Source organism: Homo sapiens, chromosome 3, assembly GCF_000001405.40.
Source record: "Homo sapiens chromosome 3, GRCh38.p14 Primary Assembly".
Taxonomy (NCBI): Eukaryota; Metazoa; Chordata; class Mammalia; order Primates; family Hominidae; genus Homo; species Homo sapiens.
The window spans coordinates 109,130,807-109,152,287 of NC_000003.12; the positions used below are offsets into that span (position 1 = coordinate 109,130,807).

General features: G+C 37.6%; 1 protein-coding gene across 2 annotated transcripts; it reads left to right on the top strand.

Annotated features, from left to right (window-relative positions):
* Window positions 1–5,912: 5,912 nt before the first annotated feature.
* On the top strand, window positions 5,913–20,595 carry C3orf85 (chromosome 3 open reading frame 85). 2 transcript variants are annotated; one of them, NM_001351622.2, is made up of 4 exons: window positions 5,913–5,935; window positions 6,038–6,090; window positions 17,447–17,580; window positions 18,999–20,595. In NM_001351622.2, exons 2-4 carry the CDS (start codon window positions 6,042–6,044, stop codon window positions 19,086–19,088), a joined length of 273 nt encoding a protein of 90 aa, NP_001338551.1. In that variant the 5' UTR covers window positions 5,913–5,935; window positions 6,038–6,041; the 3' UTR covers window positions 19,089–20,595. The 2 variants fall into 2 exon arrangements, 1 of the variants encoding a protein (NP_001338551.1); NR_161294.1 differs by lacking the exon at window positions 17,447–17,580.
* The last annotated feature ends 886 nt before the right edge of the window (window positions 20,596–21,481 follow it).

A 21,481-nucleotide genomic window follows, 5' to 3' on the forward strand; every position in this document is an offset into this window, starting at 1 on the left:
GCATAAGAAGTAATTTCTGCTATTCTTATTCATCCATTGTGGCATCCCTCATGTTCTCCTTTTAACCTCTTACACCTTCCAAGCTAGGACTCAGAATTCTGTTTACTCTCTCCTATTCCCCTACCCACTCATGGCATTTAATTCCCATACACCTTCCTCCATATCCCTTTGCTGTATCAAGTCTCTGATTTTTTCCTCAAGGACCCAGGAATTTCAAGGAATACTTTAAATCCTTCAAAGCTAAGCCTTTCCCTGGTGAATCCAACTGTTGGTTTTACATGTACTGGACCGAAACACATGTACTTAGTTTTGATCCTGAGAAAGTCACACTGCTGAGGGCTCAATTACAGGTTGCAGCAGAAAAAGCATCATAAATCCTAGAACAGCCTTTACCTCAAATCTACGCTAGATTATCAAGTTTATCTTCTGTGATTACCAGAACCATGGGAACAGATTGAATCCCTGTGGAACTAATACTAATGTCCACAGAGCTACCTGCAGAGAAAATCTGGCCTTGTTCAATTCTACAGTGAATCTCCAGAAACGCTTTTTTTTTTCTTTTAGTTTAGTGAAGCATGGAAGACTTAGGAAATGACAGACTGTGTTTTGATAGTGAGCCAATTGGGCAAGGTCCCTTGATAGTTCTGTGCTCTGTAAGCGAGCTAGCACATTGCTGATGCTCAATAAATGTCACATATTGTCAACTATCAATTATTCAGAGTGTAATGAGAAAAATGCCTTGGCATGCATTACCGCAAAGCTTAATCACGAAGCTGTGTGACTCTAATACCATATCATATAACAGATTGGTGTTTTACTTAAATTGCTAGACTGTATACATTTGTATTAATGACACATCTTTAAATGACTCCAACTTGTTTATAGTGACAACCAACAGAAATCACTGAAATTATTGAACATCAGTAACAGGAAGTTTTTAAAGTAGGCCTAAAGAGTATTCATAAATGTACTGTGATGGCCCCAAATGATGCCTTGCTGATGCATAGTGTCCATTCAAGTCCCCTGACCTTTCCTCAGGCTCTGTTTTCCTGGATTTTTCTTCCTCCCCCAACTCAATTTGTCCTCATGGGAAAATCCAACTCACCTCACTGGGAAACATTCCCTGAAACTATTTTCTCCCACACAAGGAACAATTTTGATGTCTGTTTGTAATGCTAGTACTTGGAACAGTGCACATGGAATATGTTCAAATACATGGATTTTGAAACGTACTTAGAGCCTAGAAAGTGTCTGATAAATAGTTGTTGAATGAATGAATAACAACTGAAGGATAAAACTAAATTCTCAATTTTCTGTCTTTTAACGTTGCTCTTTGGTGCATATACAAATTAGGAAATAAATGGAAAAGAGTGAAAAGAAAGAGATCTTGGACAACATGAGCTTAATTGTCATCTTCAGATCCAAGGTCATATTGGATCATCTGAAGATCCAAGATTGGTCATTTTAAGATCCAAGATCCAATATGACCTTTGATCTTAAGATGAAAATTAAGCCCCATATAATGGGGAGCTCTCCTCTTCCTCAATGCAGGTAGGATCAGTCAGTCTTTGAAAGATCCTGAGCTACCTACAACTACTTATTCAAGTCCTTAAGCTACATTTCCAAACATTAAGCCTAAGTTATCTCAGGCTGTAGCAAATTTTTCTTTTTCAGACGGAGTCTCACTCTGTCGCCCGGGCTAGGCTGTAGCAAATTTTAAAGCCTGCAGTAACCACATTAAAATGAATACAAGGGCAGAATACATTTCTCTAACCTTTTAGCTAATTTCTCCAAGTTAATCTGGCTCCTACTGTTAATATATGGTGAATATATGCCCTCATGTCCTGATGACAGCAGCATTAAAGCCTCAGTAGATACGAGAAGAAGTATAGTGCACTTGAGTTGAGTGGAAAGATTAAATAGGGAATATACTTCATCTGTGTCCTCAGCAAGGCCTGATTTTATTCTTAAATTGAGAAAAAAATGAAAACAAATGTTTCAGCTTCCAAGACAGAACCATATTCTACACAATAATTGAAAAGGAGTTTTTAATTACACTAACTAGGTCCGAATCTTGTTATCTTGTGCCTTGCTAAAGAGCTACTTTCTGCGGGTAGCTCAAGACTTTACAGAAACCATCATTCATTCTTAGGATGTGGTTGCTAGGTCATTCTCTGCTTAAATACCAGGATATTCTCTCAGTCCTAGGAAAGAAATGGCCCCGCTAAGAGGTTTGACCTGATAATGATGACACATTATACTAACAATACAAATTATAGTAAACCTGTCAAATCAGTTAAAAATGATTCCCTTAACAGGTACTATAGTAAAATTTTGTTCTCATGTAGCAATTATTTGAGAGTCTCAAATAACTTCATATAAATAAGTGCTATCACCTGCTCACTTCCAATAAGTTGACTGTAGTTGAAAGTTCATTTCAATGTTTAGTTAAGAGTTAATATCTTCTCCTCCCCCAACACGTTGGCTGGCTCTCCACCTTTTACTGATGCCAGTGATGACATTGAATCATACCAAGCTGTACTATGCCCTCATTCCTTCTTATCAGAATTTTGTAAATGAGCATTACATTTTCCAAAGCTTTGTGGTTTGTAGAGTTGGATTGCCTTGCTGGCATGACTCAGAACAGAAACTAAGTTCGGCTTGCTTCTTGATAGTGTAAAGGTTTTTTTGTTTGGGTGTTTTTTTTAGTTTTTCTTTTTCTTTTTCTTTTTTTTTTTTTTTTGGAGACGGAGTCTTGCTCTGTCACCCAGGCTGTAGTGCAGTGGCGCAATCTCGGCTCACTGCAACCTCCGCCTCCCTAGTTCAAGCAATTCTCCTGTCTCAGCCTCCTGAGTAGCTGGGACTACAGGTGCGTGCAACCATGCCCAGCTAATTTTTGTATTTTTAGTAGAAACAGGGTTTCACCATGTTGGCCAGGCTGGTCTCATACTCCTGACTTCAAGTGATCCACCTGCCTCAGCCTCCCAAAGTGCTAGGATTATAGGCATAAGCCACCGTGCCCGGCCAAAAGGTTTTTGGTTTTTTTTTAACCTTTCTTTTTTCTTCTTTAAAATTTTTTAAATGATAGCAGATCTGATTTCACATGTTTGTCTTCTAACATTTATTTTTTGTTGATACGTAATATGGGAGCTTACCAAGGTCTGTCATATCATATTAAAGTAATGATTTCTAAGTATAAAGCATCAGAGTTGTAAACAGACTCCGTTGACAAGCTTCATTAATTCTTCCCACTTGATCTTTCTATTTTTCAAAGATATTCCAATTTGATTTCAAAGAGCATTTCTATATCTTTATAATTAAGATTGGCAATTTTCATGGATTTCAGCTTTTTTCTTTCATAGATCATAAGAAGAGACAAGTTCTGGGGAAAACTATTGAAAACCCAAGCATCAACATCAAAACAAAACTACAACATTCTATTTGTTTTCTGTAGCCAGTTAGAAAAGACTGTAAACTGATAGGCCAGTGCAGGAAAATACTGACTCCAATTAATTCAATTTAATTTGAATCAGTTAATTCAATTAAGTTCAGTAATGTTTACTGAGAACTATTATATGACCAGCACTGTGCTAGGCACTGAAGGCACACAAACAGGAGTAAAAGGTAGTACCAGCCTTCAGGAAGCACATAATCTACCCGGAAATACTGAAATGTACCTACATAACCATCATGTGGGAAAACATGGCCTAACGATTAAAGGTATGCAGATGTAAGAAAAAGCAGCCAAATCTGAATTGGGGGATCTGAGAAGGCTTCATTCACCAGGAAGGATAACAGTTTCTGGCCCATGAAGGATCTTGTATTATATCTTCACCTTCCCGATAAAACTGAGTTGCCCAGGCCACATTCACCTCTGGGCCCAGTTGGGGCCACACTTACCTAATTTGTCTCATTTTACTGGCTCATGCTCTTGTGTGTGAACCACATCTCTACTTCTGCTGTAAAGCTTTACCCTGTTATTTCTGAACACACCTTGGACAAATTATGAAACTTGATAATACTGTCTCCATAGAATTGCTGTATTAAATGAGAAAATGTATGTAAAAATTTATGGAATAGCTGTTATTATTTTATACTTGCATTATCTAACCCATCCAAAATAATTGACTGATGACCCATTGAGAGAAGTAAGGTAAAAGAGATAGGAAGCAAAGCCCCTCTCCCATTCCTCCTCCAGACAAACTTCACTTTAGGCCTATAAGTTTAAGAATGATAAAAGTAGAGAAAAGAAAGATAAATTTCTCTTTTGGTGCCATGATCTCGTAGTTTGAAAAACAAAAGTATTTGTTCTCACTCATAAGTGGAAGTTGAACAATGAAAACACATGGACATAGGGAGGGGAATACACACACCAGGGCCTGTCAGCGGGTCGGGGGGAAAAGGAAGGGAGAGCATTAGGACAATTACCTAATAATGCATGCTGGGCTTAAAACCTAGATGATGGGTTGATGGGTACAGCAAACCACCATGGCACATGTATACCTATGTAACAAACCTGCATGTTCTGCACATGTGTCCCAGAACTTAAAGCAAAATTAAAAAAAAAAAAAAAAAGAAAAGAAAAAAGAAAAAAAAAGTATTTTCCTATTATTTTCTTGATATTATTCTAGTTTATCACACAACTAAAAATTTATACCTCTTTACAAAGTAAAAAATAATGGAGACTTACAGAATTGTGGCAACAGCTATTGCATCTCCCAAAACCTTGTATAGGTGGACACATGGCTTAAGCTTCCAAGATTTTGCAGTGTGTGTTTCTAGTTAGCTGTCTTCTAAAACCTTTCATTTATCATTAAATGGAGGCATAACTCCCAGGTAGGTTTCTAAACACCCTTTACAATTTAAAGATAGTCATCAACAAAGTTGTTTTCTACCACTTTTATAGATCCATACCAATTCATTACAGATTGCATAATCTTAATGAAACTGGCACACAGGCATAATTTGTCATTAAGAATAAATTGTATGATGATGAACTCAGTCGATTAATCAAGGCACTGAAAAGGGCAATTGCTTGAAAAATGAAAGTACTGTTCTGGTTGTATTGATTATGTACTGTTTTTGGAAACAAACACATTTTACAATGCAGTAAAACATTCCTTGTTTTTAATTAAACTTTTTTTTTTTTTTGAGATGGAGTCTCGCTCTGTCGCCCAGGCTGTAGTGCAGTGGCATGATCTCAGCTCACCGCATCCTCTGCCTCCCAGGTTCAAGCTATTCTCCAGCCTCAGCCTCCCAAGTAGCTGGGACTACAGGCGCATGCCACCGCATCTGGCTAATTTTCGTATTTTTAGTACAGACCAGGTTTCACCATGTTGGCCAGGACAGTCTCGAACTCCTGACCTCAGGTGATCCACCTTGGCCTCCCAAAGTGCTGGGATTATAGGTGTGAGCCACCACACCCAGCCAATAATTATTATTTTTAATAGTTATTATTATGACTGCTGGTAGTAATCCACGGTATAGATATATCACGCTTTAACATTCAGTTGTTGAATGACATCTGGCTTGTTTTTAGTCTTTGCCTGTTGCTAATAAAGCTGTTATGAACATTCTTCTACAGATTATTTCTTAACGTTAAGTTTTTATTTCTCTGAAACAAAGGCCCAGTAGTGTAATTGCTGGGTTGGACAGTAATTGCAAGCTTGAATTTTTAAGAAACCACCAAACTGTTTTACAAAGTGACTGGAAAATTTTACATTTCCACCAGCAATACGTGAGTGATCCAGTTTTTCTACCTTTTTTTAACATTACGTTAATCTATGTAGATGGTAAAATTAGTAAATAAATAAATTACCCACATAAGAACAGCCTGTAAAAAGCCAGTTCAAAAAGTCCAAAGGGTAAAAAGGCAAGAGGTGTATAAAAAAGCCACCTCAGCCTCTCTCTGTGTCTCAGCTCACAGGGCTTCCAGGTATGCAACAAATGCTTTATACTTCTGAAAAGTACCTGATATACCCTAAGGCTTTTTCCAGCTAAATTAAAGTAAATAAATCTTTTTTTTTTCCCAAAATAGGATCATGGCCTATAAAATGCTTCAAGTAGTCCTGTGCTCAACATTGCTTATCGGTAAGAGCCTATTTCTTTTTTATTTATCATGTCTCCTACAGCCATCAGGTTGATAATTCCTTTTGTCTTCTTAAAGAAATGAACAAACACGTTTTTATCCATAGGCCTATTCTATAGCACTGGGGAAACCAAACTATTGTAGAAGGCTGTGGTTTTGAACATGTTAATGTTAACTGTGTGTGTGTGTGTGTGTGTGTGTGATCATTTTATTTCTAATTATATATTAACATGATACTGTTGCTAAGAAGCCTAATTGCTGCTGCCTCCAAATAAGTGCTGTTGTGTCCTTGAACAAAGAAAATTTTAAAATATCTTTCAGAAGTATAATACTTAACATAGTACCATTATATGAAGACCTCAAAGTACTTTGGGAACATGAATTTATTAACCTTTAGGGCAAGCTGTAGCTCAAAGTGGTGCTTTAAAGGCAGATCAAGGAAGGCACCAGAGGCCAGGCGATTTGCTGCCAAAATGACCCGGTAACTCAGTGGCTTCTATCAAAATTGAACTGAGAGGTCATTTGTTTTGCTTGTAACAAAAACTGAAAACACTTACAAAGATATAAATTATCTTCATGGTTAAATCTCTATAATTTATAAATATTTCTGATGCAGATGCTTAAATTAGAATAAACTTTTGCTTCTATGAAAATCTTGAGACTCATGCACAAAAATTATATTTTTCCTGAAGCCCTTCCCACACACAGCTAGATAGATGTATATATGTGTGTGTGTGTGTGTGTATATATATATATATATATATATATATATATAAAATAAGCCTTCAATTCCTAAACATAGAAATAATTTTAATAATGAGTTTTAATCATAAATATTGCAATTTGCTGTTGGGTCATGTTTAAATATGTGATTGAAACATTTTTAGCCAAGTTATTATTAAGCAGTTATAACCAAAGCATATACAATCATACACAATTACAGCCCACATTGCCAGATGAAGAAAGTGAGGCTGGCTCAGTTTAAGTGAGTGTCTCAGAGCACATTGTAATTTAAAGACATTAGCTGGTTATAACTCACCAGTGTAATGCTTTGCTTTGACCACTGATCCGTGCAGTTGACTTTAGAGGGGGTAACGGTGGTGGATGCCTGCAAGGCTAAAGCAATGCTGGCTGGTCCACATTCACCTATGAATGCTTCAGGGTCAAAAATATTTGACAAAGGAAATGGTTCTGCAAAATTTTTAAAGAGGCTTCAAAGACTTTCTTAAGAAACAAGTTTGAATTTACTTCAACTCCAACTGAGATACAAATATGTCTACCTATAAAGACAACTGGTTTGATTGACTTGACTCTAAAAAAAAATAATAAAGTTATCTAGTTGAAGTTTATGAAATAGCAAGTTGAGAACTAGAAACTAAGGACAGAGGTGTATGCACACTGCTGGATTAGCCCTTCAGATCTCAGGAAAGAAGGCTTCACTGCTTGCAGATTGAGGAGACTGATGCCTTCAGAACTGGATTCATTCATTACAATAACTGGTTTAGCTGACAGTTTCTACATCATGTAGCTCTAGAGAAGAAAGTAGTAGCTTGAATGAACTTTCTTTGCTTCTTTTCCTCCACATTTTCTTTTAAGAATACAGCCTATTCATCTGTACTTCTCTGAAGCCCTTCTGCTTATTATAAGAAAACCACTATTTTTTTTTAAAGTTTATTTTCATGTTTTTTAAGTTTTCTCTATTATAGCTTAGTCGTCCAACAAATTACTTTTCTTTAGAATTTGATTTAAGGGAGGTAGGGAGAAGGTCTCATTTATCTATTTTCCTGATGGGAATGCTGAGGCCAAAAACAATGAAAGGCCTTATCCAAGTAATTAAATTTATGGGCAGAGTTGACAAGTTATTGATTATTTTCAAAACAGTAACTTATACGCATTGGAGCTGATTCTCTAGTCAGAGAATTAGAAGTTCAAGTGTTGTGATTTGATTTAAAAAATAAGCATATAAACCTGTCTTGAACATTTAGGTCAAGAATTGCCTTCTTTCAGAAATGAAGGAGAGATAAAGAAAAAAAATTTTAATTGCCTTCTTCTATAATGAAATCAGCAAATATTAATGCTACTAATTTAAATTCCTTTTATGTGTCAGGGACTTTGCATAGGCTATCTTAGTCAGTTCTCATGACCACTCTGAAAATACTAATAGATGCTATGCTCCTCATTTTACAGAAAGAGGGAACTGAGGGCTTAGGGAATTCAAGTGACCAAGCTACACAGTCAATCAATGGTAGAAGCTGCATTCATGTCCTAATCCTACATCTACCACTTATGAGAACAAAACTCTTCTTTCTGCTACACAAACTCTCCCCTCTGGCACTGCAGTGACTGACATGGGCTAGCAGCAGCTCACAGAGCAAGACGTCCTCTTGAAAAAGTGGTAGAGGCAGTATCATAGCCGTTGCTTCCATAAGAAACAACCAGGAGTTAAGAAGCTGGGTGACCTTACCTGACAAAATTGAGCAGAACCAGGACACCACCAATGACTTTCAGTGACAGTTCCTAGTTGTACTAATGGTGAAGAGTAGCAACAGGGCATTTATTAAAACCAAACAGCTTTATATCACATACAAAGGAAATATGGAAATATGGAAAAAAAACAAATTTGAAAAGTGTTTTTCTAAGTGAACCAACTTTTGAACGCTATTAAGATTTATACTGGGTTTTTTTTGTTGTTTCTCATTTGTGTATTTTTTTAAAGGATTGCTTTCATTCTTCTGCTAAAATGAAAAATAGATTTATTTTCCCTTAGCAATCATGTTCTCCTGATCAGATTTGGCAGCTGGAGTTGACCCATACACGAAACGATTTGGGGGTCCATGCCCATATTGTTGACCTGCGATCAGATCTGTCCATAAAGTGCAAGTATGTCTTCTGGTTTTAGACAGGGAGAATAATAAGCTGCCTTTGGTCTGTTTTTCCTCTGGTAGTTCCACCTCTTATTTTTCACTCCACAGTTAGTAACCAATGCCAGTTTGTCTTGAAAGATTTTTGATTTGCTTTGTTTTTTGACAAGAGCTTTTAAGCTCACATATTCTAACACACAACCCTGTCAGCATCCCCAATCCCTTTCTTTTTGCTTTCTTCTCTACCATAGGAAGACTAGCCCTTTTCAGTCATCCCTGCAGCCCTCCAATTCCTTAGAGATTCTGTATTCTCTGACACAGTTTTGGTTTATTTTTAAAGATTTTGTTCTTAATTTTACCTACTCACTTGGGCTTATGACTGATTGATACTCTCAAGAAGATACATAATGAGAATAAACTGGAAAATAATTTGGCTGGAAAAAAAAATGTTGTTGTAGGAAAATCCAGGTTCTTGTCATGTGACCAGGAAAGATTAGGTTCGCAGACACTTTGAAGGGTGAAGGGGACGGAATTTATTGGACGAAAAGGAAAACGGTAAAACAACACAGCAAAGTAGGAGAATGGTTCCTGTTAACAGGCCCTCATTTCACAGATTGAATCCCAGGTTCCTACACAGGAACAGGAAGGGCCAGGCCCCTCCCCGCTGCAAACGGCCTGAGCTTCCGTGGGTCCACCCCTTCTCCCAGTGACCAGGCTGGTCGGAGGTTCTCCTGGGACCCCTTTATACTTGGTTGTCTCAATGTCATTGCTTATGACTAGATTCATTGAGCAGTCTGGGTGCTGTAGAAAAACTGTTTTCCTACACATATGGCATCATCTGTCATATGTATATGGAGATGGGGATCCCATCAACACATGTAGGCAATGACCCAGAAAGAGTCACTATTGAATCAAATACAATGCTGCCTTTCATGAATTATGAATTTCCATGTCTACAAGATTAAAAGTAATAAAAGAACCACCAGCTCCAAAAACATGTCCAAGGAAATTCTGTGGCCATAAGAGTGAGTGCCAACATTGTGTATGTGTGTTAAGAGCAGGTTAGAACAGATTTAAGTTAAACCCAAGTGACACCACTTCCTGTTTACTTTCCAAAATATTCAATATGTCAGCAATTGTAATGCCAGTAAAGTGGAAGTTACTGAGTTAAAAGGTCAGTTAGAAAGCATCCTGTTAGACCTTTGTTTTTTTGTTGCTGTTGTTTGTTTTGTTTTTGTTTTTGTTTTTTGAGACGGAGTCTCTCTCTGTCGCTCAGGCTGGAGTGGAGTGGTGTGATCTCAGTTCACTGCAACCTCCACCTCTCAGGTTCAAGCGATTCTCCCGGCTCAGCCTCCTGAGTAGCTGGGATTACAGGCATGCACAACCATGCCTGGCTAATTTTTGTATTTTTAGTAGAGACGGGGTTTCACCATGTTGCCCATTCTGGTCTCAAACTCTTGACCTCAGGTGATCCACCCACCTTGGCTTCCCAAAGTGCTGGGATTATAGGTGTGAGCCACCCCACCTCGGCCCCTGTTAGACCTCTGAACAGGACACTAGGATATGAGAGCCGGTCAGCAATTCAGCACCCCTCTCCATTTTTTCCAGTTTCCTTTCACCCTCTTTGCCTTCTGTTGTGTTACTTCCTTTATCTGCCCTGTGGCTTTTCACCTTTTGTCTTTTGTAAACCCGCTTCATTTTTCTATCTTTCCTTTGATTTTTTTCTTGATTTCTCTCTCCATCTCTTTTCTTCTATTCTCCTCTGTTTCTCCTTCACATTTTTCTCTCATAACCCAAATTGCTTCTCTTCCATTATCTGTCTCTCTCTCTCCTTTTCTCACCAATTTTTATCCAAGTTCAAGCAAAGTGAGGGAACATGTTCTACTAAACACAACTCTTCTGTCTTGCACTACACATTTTTGGGTCAGTGACCAAAGGTAATGGGGAAAGAAATAAAATAGCTATGCCATTGTGTGTAAAAATTACTTACTTAGTGGGGCGTGGTGGCTCATGCCTGTAATCCTAGCACTTTGGGAGGCAAACGCAGGCAGATCACTTGAGGTTAGGAGTTCAAGACCAGCCTGGCCAGAATGGCAAACCCCATCTCTACTAAAAATACAAAAATTAGCCAGGCGTGGTGGTGCATGCCTGTAATCCCAGCTACTCGGGAGGCTGAGGCACAAGAATCACTTCAACCCCAGAGGCAGAGGTTGCAGTGAGCCAAGATCGTGCCACTGCACTCTAGTCTGGGCAATAAAGCAAGACTACATCTCAAAAAAAAAAATTACTTAACAAAGAGAATATTCAAGTTTTAGAAAACATGAACGTAAACATGAGTATTTTAGTCTCTCACTAAATCGTATAACTCCCCCTACATTTACAGAAATCTTGGAAATTTTTACACCATTACTAAGACATTTATATATCCTTTTCTCCAGATCCTCTTTTGTACTTTACTCCTAGTGACCATTTATACTTTATTTCAGTACTTAATTTGTGTGTGTCCATAATTTTCTGGGCAGTTATTTCATCTTTTCTTAAAAAATAAATATTTTAAAGGCAAGGACTGAGACTCAGCAGTTCAATAAAAATAGTAAACAATAAATATTATTAGGTACTTATGCTGAGTGCTAAGTGCTTTACTTTCACCATCCCATACGTAAATATCTTTGAACTTTAAGCAAGCCTGCACTGCTTACTCTCCATCTCTAGTAGCAGGTATCAGGTAATACCCCAGATATCAGTATTACCTAGACCCTAAGGGAAATAGCTAGCAGTAGACCTCTCCTATGGATCTGCCCAGATATTTTATGTCTTCTGACCCCACTGAATCTCATTGCATTTATTTCAAAAACATACAGACATTGAAGGTTACATATGGGAAATAATTCGGTTGTGCCTATCTGGGAATGACAAGCTCCCACCGGAGTGCCCTGGCATGTGCTCTGTTTTTTTTTTTTTCTCCCTCCTTTTTTAGTGAGGCTTTGAGCAACAGACTATTGGGTTCTTTAAGCTACTCTTTCTTCACCACCCTCCAACAAATAGCACCCTTCTTCTTTGTCCAGTTTTGATCAAGTTGAGAAATAAAGAAATAAGATTATGGAAGGCAATCGATTTCCTTTATTCCTGAGAAGGGCTAATTTGGAAAATGTAGCTTAGTATAAGTACATAAAGGGCCTGATGACTGGACCCCCAAATTTGGCAAATTTATAACCAATTGCAGGTTGCAGAACCAGAACAGGAAGCATGCCCTAGGAGGGCAGTTTACTCTCAAGAGAAGAAGAAAGAGCTAAGCTGGACATGGTCAAGTTAAACTTCTTGGATTTACAAATTAAGTGAAGCACTGCCCCTTCCCAGGAGCAGAGCACACATAGGGGTGAAGAGGGGCCTAGGCTTACCCTAAATGAGCTTCCTCTACATCAGCAAAAAGAGAAATCTGCCAGCAGACTCTGTCCTTTAATTCTGTATCTTATTTTACCTTAGGCTTTCTGATCTTTTAGATATATAGGTTCCTACCACAAGTATCATTTCAAGGTTATGTGTATAGGGTATAGAATATTGTCTTTTCCCCACCATTATGTTTAAAGAGTTTTTTTCAGCTTTCTGTGGGTGCTAGTAACATAGAGACTTTCATTTCTAATGATGCAGTTTTCATTATGCTCATACTGCTCATTAGCCTGCAATGGGTACTCCCCACTTTGTTCATAATATGAATACATTTTTATCTGTTTTGTTTTAATTATTGGGTAAGTCTACTCTGACCTTTCTTTCACTTATTTCTGACTGTCGCAGTGCTAAATTTTTCAGTAAGTTCCTTGAAAGTAGTAGGAACTGTGCCCACTAAGCATATTCTCTGTGCTTCCGATAACACGATACCATGCATAGAAAGTAGTTTTTGATTAATGACCTATTTGTTATTAATACATTCCAGATCAAAATATTAGAGCTGGAAAAGACCTTAGTGGTTGTGTAATCCAGACTTGTTTCACAGAATAAAAAATGGAAGTGTAGGAATAAGAAGTGGCTCAATGACCTAGCTGGTCACTGGCGAGGCCAAGAAAAGACTCTGGGTCTCTGATCCTTCTTGGCTTGTGTAAGGAGAGCTGTGATCCCAAATAGTGTTTGCTTTATACTCTGAAGTGTTTGCCTTGTTTCTACTTTACAGAATTTTCTGCAGAGGATATTTAAGAAATGTTTAGACAAAACATTTACAGATCCTATTAAAGCTGACTATGATGTGAGTAAAAAAAGGGGCATGTGTAGGGAGTTGTAAATAAAGAGAGAAGGATATTTTTCATAGCTGATGATCATGAAGTTTAAGAAAGGCATTAACCTGGTTGATATTGCCTACATTTTTTTAAAAAACTCATTTAAAAATCAACACAGCAATAAAACTCAGGGTTCAGTTTTCAAACCCCAGCAATATTAGATAGGTTCACAAACACAAAACCCTGGTCTTGCTCTCACTAACTTTCAAGGTTGATCAGGCAGAATGAAAAAGGGAGGAGAAATTTCTCAAGCAGAGAGGATAATAGCCTGCCCTTCTATATTACTTGCATTTTTATTTCCAGCCCTGCCACTGACTTACTATATGACCTTGAGTGAGTCATTTCATCTCTGCATGTCAATTTTCTCAATTTGTAAAGTAGGATAATAAATACTAGTTTCTGTCTCTCTCATGGGTGGTGTTATCATCATCATCAATTAAGATTTATTGGATGCCTGTCGGGCTTATAATGCTGAGGTAGGTGGTTTGTCCTAGGGAGGAGAAGGAGATTGTATCGGTAAAACATTTTCCATGAACCAAAAGGTAAAAGACTTACAAAAGACAGAATTATTAGAGCATAAAATAGCTATTGTATATATTTTAAAGCATGCTTCTCTGCCAAGATTTATGCAATAGCATTTTTTTCTTAGTGATTGTATAATGCACCAGGATGACTATGGTACAGAATTCTGGTTTTACTTTTAGATAATTCCAAGTAACACTATCTTAAGCAATTACTACAGATTCACTATGTAGCTATAAATCATATCCTAAGCATCATTTACTTAGACCTATTTATTGTTTACTGATGGAATTGGATCTATTTTGCACAGCCACTAATTTTGTTTTGAAAAAAACACCTATTTATTAACAGAATAATAGCACATAAAATATGTAACACTGTAACACACACCTTTTCTTCAAAGAGAATAATCAGAAATCTGAAAAGTGACCCATTAGTGCATTTCATCTAAAAGCAAAAAATCAAAGCTGGTTAGTCCACACTGGTCAGCCCAAATGAATGCGTGTTCCTTCCTCCTGTCTTCCTCAAATCAATCCTGTTTTCCCATCCCACGTTCACCAGATTCAGGCCCTTCTTATCTCTCATCTGGACTATTGAATAGCCTCTGATCTCGTGTCCCTCACTCTTCTCTTCCTTTTACTATCTGTCCTTACACCACTGACAAAAGGATCTTTCAGAGTAAATCTGTGAATGAATAAATAAAATGTGGTATATATACATATATATTAAATACATAAAGTATTACTCAGTCTTAAAAAAGGAATGAAATACTGATGTCACAATGTGGAAGAACTTTGATGGTATTATGCCATGTGAAGTAAGCCAGACGGAAAAGAACAAATACTCTATGATTCCACTTACATGTGGTGCCTAGAACAGGCAAATTCATAGGAAAAGAAAGTAGAATAGTAGTTACCAGGGGTTGGGGAGGGGTTAATGCGGAGTTGTTTAAAGAGTGAGAGTTTCTGTTTGAGACAATGAAATAGTCCTGGAGATGGATAGCGGTGATGGTTACAAAACACTGTAGATGTATTTAATACCACTGAATTGTACATTCAGAACTGGTTCAAGTGATATGTTTTATGTTACGCATATTTTACCATAATACAAACAATTTTTTTAAAAAGTAAATCTGGTCCTTCCTATCATTTTCTTATTCAGAAATGATTATTAATTATTTAGAGTAAAGCCCAAACCCTTTGGTATGACAGTTAAAATCATTCAGAATTGAGCTCCAACTTACCTTTCCAGTGTTATCTCTGACCACATCTACACCACAACCCTACCTTTCAATCATATTGGTAAAATGAAAGTCACCAACCCTGAATCTTCCTTTGCTCCTCCATTCTTTAACTCTCCAGTCTCCTTCAGCCTAGAATACATGCGCTTTGCTTCCACTCCCTTCATCCTCATTGTTGAAGTGTAACAAATCTTTGAAGCTCAACTCAAAATAAATTTCTCTGTGAGGTGTCCATGACAGTATCAAAATTGCTCCAACTATGGATGGTCTGATCAAATATGTCTTCTTCTAATTATATATGAACTCTGACTATAATGTGAATTCTTTAATGGTAAGGGTTATTTGTTGTCTATCTTTGCATGCAGTAGTGATTAGCAAGAGTTATTTTTGTTTATCTTTCCATGCAATGATGATAATCAGAGCAAGGACTAGGGTGAGAGAAGTGAGGAACTTACGGTACAAAATTTGTATGACCCTGAAAGTGAGTTCCTTTTATCCTAGGTGTCTCACTTGCCTCAACCTAGTCTCAACCCTTGTGATTAGCTATTTACCTTGACATCAGTAAGTGCGTATAATGCATTCTATAAGTTATCTACTACTGCATAACTAATTTTTCCAAACCTTAACAGCTTAAAACAACTAACATATTATTGCAGTTGCAGGGTCATGAATTTGGGAGTGGCTTAGCTCAGTGGTTGTGGCTCTGAATTTATTATGACGATGCGGTAAAGATGTCAATGGGGGCTGCAGTCATCTGAAGGCTTGACTGGAGCAAAAACATCAGGTTCCCAGATGGCTCGCTTACCTGGCTATTAGTGGGAGGCATCATTTCCTTGTCATGTGGTCTTCTCCCTCAGGGCTGCTTGAGCGCCCTCACGACATGGCAGCTGACTTTTCTTAGAGCAAGTGGTCCAAAAGAGGGGCAAGGCAGAAGCTGTAATGTCTTTTATATCCTAGCCACAAAAATTGCACACAGTCATTCCACAGTAGCTTATGGTTATGTACGTCAGCCCTATTAAATAAAAGAGGGTACTACTATACAAGAATATGGATAACAAGAAGTAGTAATTTTTGGGAGCCACCTTAAAAGATGGTTTCCACAAACTTGCTGGTTGGATTATACTAAATTGGATTAGCTAGCAGCAGAACAGTATTAATTCTGGCATCTGTCACTAATACCTCCTAAGTTTAAATGTTAACTAATATTATTTTTTTATATAAAACTCTTCTATCTAGCCAACTCTGACTATTGTTTTAAGATACTGAAACACATCATTCCTCTGGCTTAAATTTTTTAAAAAATGTTTCTCCTTCTCCCATCCTGCTAAATCCAATTTTTTCTTCAAGGAGCAGGTGAAACAACTTCCTTGACCGAGAAAACGCCTACTTGTACCCCAGTGTCTTAGTGCTCAATAACAACATCTTCTCCTAAATTCCTTTAGTGCAATCAAATCTTGTGTTGCCTCGTTTTGTCTTTTATCTTTGACCCTGGATCCCAAATAAACAGAGAGCCCCATAGAGGGGAATTTTTATACCGTATAGCTTGCTATAACCCAGGTTTATACAGAAGGTTGGTCAACAGAGGACTGCTAATAATGAGGTTAAGTGCCTAATGTAACATTACTCACAATTAGATGTTGTAATAAATGCTTCTTTATCACAATGAACAGATTGTATTGTTGTCACATATAGGTCAGGAGAGAATGTGTTCTTCCTTTGTATTGGTTCGTTATAATTCTGAACGCAATTGTGTTTTACTTGAGAATGAAAATACAACACAGATTGTTAAAATCTCAAGATCTTTAAAAAGTCTGGATTTTTAAAAATTATCATCTCTTTTTTCTTCTTAATCCTGGAGTAGGAAGGAGTTGCAAAATACAAGGTGGTTCGATTTGATGGTGAATTGATCAATGCCAACAATTGATCAATGCCAAACCACAGTGTCAGGTTTGGGAGCAGCATAGTTCAAACAGAAAGATCAGTTCTATTTTGGAGGGCTAAGAAAGGAAGAATAAGATTGTTGACTGCCTAGTTTGAGCCAGATAGTTTACAGTCATCAATTTATCCAGTCCTTACAGCAAGTGTGTGTGCATTATTATACCCCTTAACATGCAAGAAAACTAAAGTGCGAAGAAATCAAGCAACTTTCCCCGAAAAGTGATAGGGCTGGAATTCGAATCCAGGTGTGGAGGCCCCCATGCATGTATGGAAGCTCTGATATCCTGCTCCATCCACCACATAGCACTGGCTTTCAAGGTGAACTAAATACAGGTCAAATTGAGTGGTTAGCATACAGTGGTGACAAAGGGCCAAGGAGTAGCTGTCTCACTCAGAGCTTAGCTTTTCCAGAGTTTCCTCCTCAGGCCCCCAGCCTACCAAAGATCACAGCTGGGTCTCTTGAAGAGGAAACATTGAGATGTAAACTATTGCTCTAAAAGATGCTGTGCTCTTGGACTCTAAATTGCAGGAGCATTGGGAGCGCCATTTTTGTTGGAAGACCCTGCAAACCAGTTCCTACGTCTCAAAAGACATGTAAATTTGCAGGATTACTGGGACCCAGATCACAGTTCAGATGTGTGGGTAAACACACTGGCTAAGCAGGTATTTGTATTAGAAACAAATGGTCCTTCACCATTTATCTTTTTAAATAGTCATTGCATTAGCTGACCACTAATTAACACATGACTAGCCTAGCCCTGATTTTTCCTCTCTAGACACTCTGAACTATATCTGCTTTTTCTTGCCCATGAAGTGGTTTTTGCCTGGTAAACTCTGCCTCTTGCTTAAAGACTAGACTCAAATGTCCCTCTGAAGCCTTTCCCTTCTTCTCAGGGCGACATTTGTCTTTCCTTCTCTCCCTTTTTGCATGCTCTTTCACAAATAAATAGCTCTCAAAATGTCAATTGGAATTACTTGTTTTGTGTACCCAACCTACCTACCTAGACTATAAAGGTAGGGTCTGTATCTTATCCTTCAAGGTAATTATTCTCGGGAACTAGCAAAATGATTGTTATATAGTCAAAGCTTAATAAATTATTACATGTATGTGTAGATTGATGAATGGATAGTGGTCGGACTTTAGTTCACTTTCAGTTGTTCAGTAGCTAAATATCCCCGGTGACAATTATTCAAGGCTTTAATGTTGTTCCTCCTTTTGCTTGCCTTTTGTACATTTTCCTATTCATTTGCATTCTCGCTGCAAAAGAAACAAAGAAGAAATTTGCATTGGCCTTTTTTATTCTATATTTACTTTTCTGATAGAAGAAGACATTAAAACTCCAGGCCAAATGAAATTGCTGAATTATCTGAGTATTTCAATTATTCATGATCTCCCTCTTACAATTTAGCAATTTAGGAAACAAAGTTGTATAATGAATGAATGAATTCTTTCACTTATTCTTTCTTTCTTTCCACATATCTCAGGATCTGATTATCATCAGGCATGAGGATTGTATAAAGTCATAAAAAGTTGAATGTCCTTGTTTTCATGGGGCCTTGATCTTGTCCGTACTCCACATAACTGGGTCTTAACCGGTCTACCAGGATCTGCTTGTTTTGCACTTGCTGATGAAAACTACTAACTGAATAATGCATCCAGTTTTATGGCTGTTTTTGTCCAATAGGCATTATTTAGCATTATTAAAACAAGACATTTGTTTATTTGGTCAATTAAGTGATTAAGTAGGCTGGTAGACTGTGTCTTCTTTATAGAATGTTGACATTTTCAGGTACTCTCCTGCCTCTACTTGTAGACCAGATTTGTACCAACTGACAGGCACTATGTAATGTAGCAAGACTCTGCTACATTGGTTTATACTGTGGCCCCACAAATACTGTAAAATATCTGAGTATTGAAATAAACAGATAATTAAAAGTATGAAAACCAAATTCTATTTGGTATAATTCTTCCATTATATTTTTCTCATCTTTTAGGAATATCTGTATGATAATCAGAATAACTGATGCAAGATGTGTTCTACACACTCAGAGATCATGACTTGTGTTTCCTTTTCTTGAAGGCTCGTGAAACATGGATTGCTTTGAAAACAACAGCACAGTATTATTTGGATATGAATACCTTCACCTTTGACATGTCTACTGCCCAGTAAATATGTTTTCCTGGTTAAAGCAGGAGGATGAAGATGGCAGAGGTTGGAATGGCATTGTGCCAAAACCATGGGTTTTAGAGATCTGAGGGTATATCCATGCTGTTTACTACATTATTTATTATGTCTGTCTCAAAGTTGTTGAAAACAGTAGTTATGAAAACCCATGTAGGAAACTGGAATAAGACATTCTCAATAAATGGTAGTTCTCAAAAAAAGAACTAAAAAAAAAAAAGGCTGTAGTAATAACATTTACCAAAACGATGGCATTTATGGGAAAAGGAAAGCAAAAACATAAACAAAGAAAAGTAGTTTCATTAAACCACTCTGTTCATAGCTTTTACTCTCTATTGCCTCTTCTTTGAGAGAGTTTTTTAATTCAAAGAAGGACAGGGAGCTCTCAAATGGAGCTGATCCTCTTCTCTCTTCTTCAGTGCTTGTCGCATTCTTAAGTCAGTCGATTTTAAAACCATGACTTTGAAACGTTTTTCATCAAAGGTGTACTGCTGAGTGGAGAATACAGCCTTACCTTAATACAACAAGTAGATAGTGGCTAGGAACTCAATGGAAGTCATTCACTTGTAAGTGCAAACTTCTTCCAAGTTTTGTAAAATTTTTGTAAGCTTTGCATTCTGTTCCACAATTTATTGATGTTTGTTTTAATGTGAAATAACAGTTTTGACTCACTGGCCAGGCACATTTTATAATTTTTTCAATTAAAACTGAAAAATTGGCCATAGGGAAAAGTGGACTGCATTTATCCTATAACTTTCCTAATATTCATGGATTACCACCTCAGTTTGAGAAGCATTGAGATGATACAACTAATTGCCAAGATTGCCCCCCAAAATCACAGGTAAATGGAATTTTTGTCTTCAGAAGTCTATTTATCTCCATTCTCTATTCTCTATTTTAGTTGTTCTCTCGAACAATTTATTTTTACCTTTTAAGGTAAATGGAAACATTTCCCTAAGACCTTAGTTGATCTTATGTGGTCTTAAAACAATCTTAAGCACTTTTTGAGTGGCAAGTAAATCAGAAAAACCAAATGCCAAGAAGTTGACTGGAAGGACTTTGGCCTCAGCAATTTCTTCTCCAAAAGGACACTGACAGCTGCTCAGTGTTTCACATTTCCCATCCTATGGCCTAGAGGTGTTTTCAGTGAGAAATTTAAGGCTAATTTATAACTTATTAAGTTAACTGCTATCCATTTCCAATAAATATGAACATAGATTTTTAAATTACATCTGAACAAACAAAACAAAGATGATGAATCATTTAGTTTTGCAGTGGGAAATAAGTTTGAGATTGTACATAAATATATCTTCAGTGTTTTACCAATAATATACATTTTACTAACACAAAGTTTCATTCTTTAATTATTTAATAAAAAATTGAGAATGTCTGTGTATTAGGGTTCTCCAGAGAAACAGAACCAATAGGATATGTATATATAGAGATGCTCCTCAACATACGATGGCGTTACATCCCAATAAACCCGTCACACGCTGAAAATATCATAAGTCAAAAGTGCATTTAATACACCTGACCTACCCAACCTCATAGCTTTGCCTAGCCCACTGATATGGTTTGGCTCTGTGTTCCCACCCAAATCTCATGTTAAATTGTAATTCCCATGGCCGGGCATGGTGGCTCACACCTGTAATCCCAGCACTTTGAGAGGCTGAGGCAGGCAGATCACCTAAGGTCGGGAGTTCGAGACCAGCCTGACCAATATGGAGAAACCCTGTCTCTACTAAAAATACAAAATTAGCCCGGCGTAGTGGCACATGCCTGTAATCCCAGCTACTTGGGAGGCTGAGGCAGAAGAATTACTTGAACCTGGAAGGCAGAGGTTGTGGTGAGCCAAGATCATGCCATTGCACTCCAGCCTGGGCAACAAGAGCGAAACTTCATCTCAAAAAAAAAAAAAAAAAAAAAATTGTAATTCCCAGTGTTGCTGGCAGGGCCTGGTGGGAGGTGTGGTGATCATGGGGGTGGTTTCTAATGGTTTAGCGCTATTTCCCTAGTGCTGTCTTGTGAAAGAGTTCTCACAAGATCTGGTTATTTAAAAGTATGTAGCATCTCCCCTTAGCTCGCTCTCTCCTGCCACCGTGTGAAGATTTGCCTGCTTCCTCTTCACCCTTCCGCCATGATTGTAAATTTCCTGAGAACTTCCCAGCTGTGCTTTCTGTACAGCCTGTGGAAGCGAGTCAATTAAACCTCTTTTCTTTATAAATTATCCAGTCTCTTTACTGCAGTGTGAAAACATACTAAACATGCTTAAACATACTCAGTACACTTACCTGGGCTTACAGTTGGGCAAAATCATCTGGCAACACAGTCTACTATAGAGTACTGTGTTTGTGTGGCTGATTGGGAGTCATGGCTGGCTG

Excerpts from the sequence above, each read along its gene's own strand:
- C3orf85 (NM_001351622.2), top strand. The coding sequence starts at position 6,042 with ATGGCCTATAAAATGCTTCAAGTAGTCCTGTGCTCAACATTGCTTATC. Across the intron at positions 6,091-17,446 it reads GTGCTCAACATTGCTTATCG|GAGCATTGGGAGCGCCATTT; the intron begins GTAAGAGCCTAT and ends TCTAAATTGCAG. Across the intron at positions 17,581-18,998 it reads TAAACACACTGGCTAAGCAG|GCTCGTGAAACATGGATTGC; the intron begins GTATTTGTATTA and ends CTTTTCTTGAAG.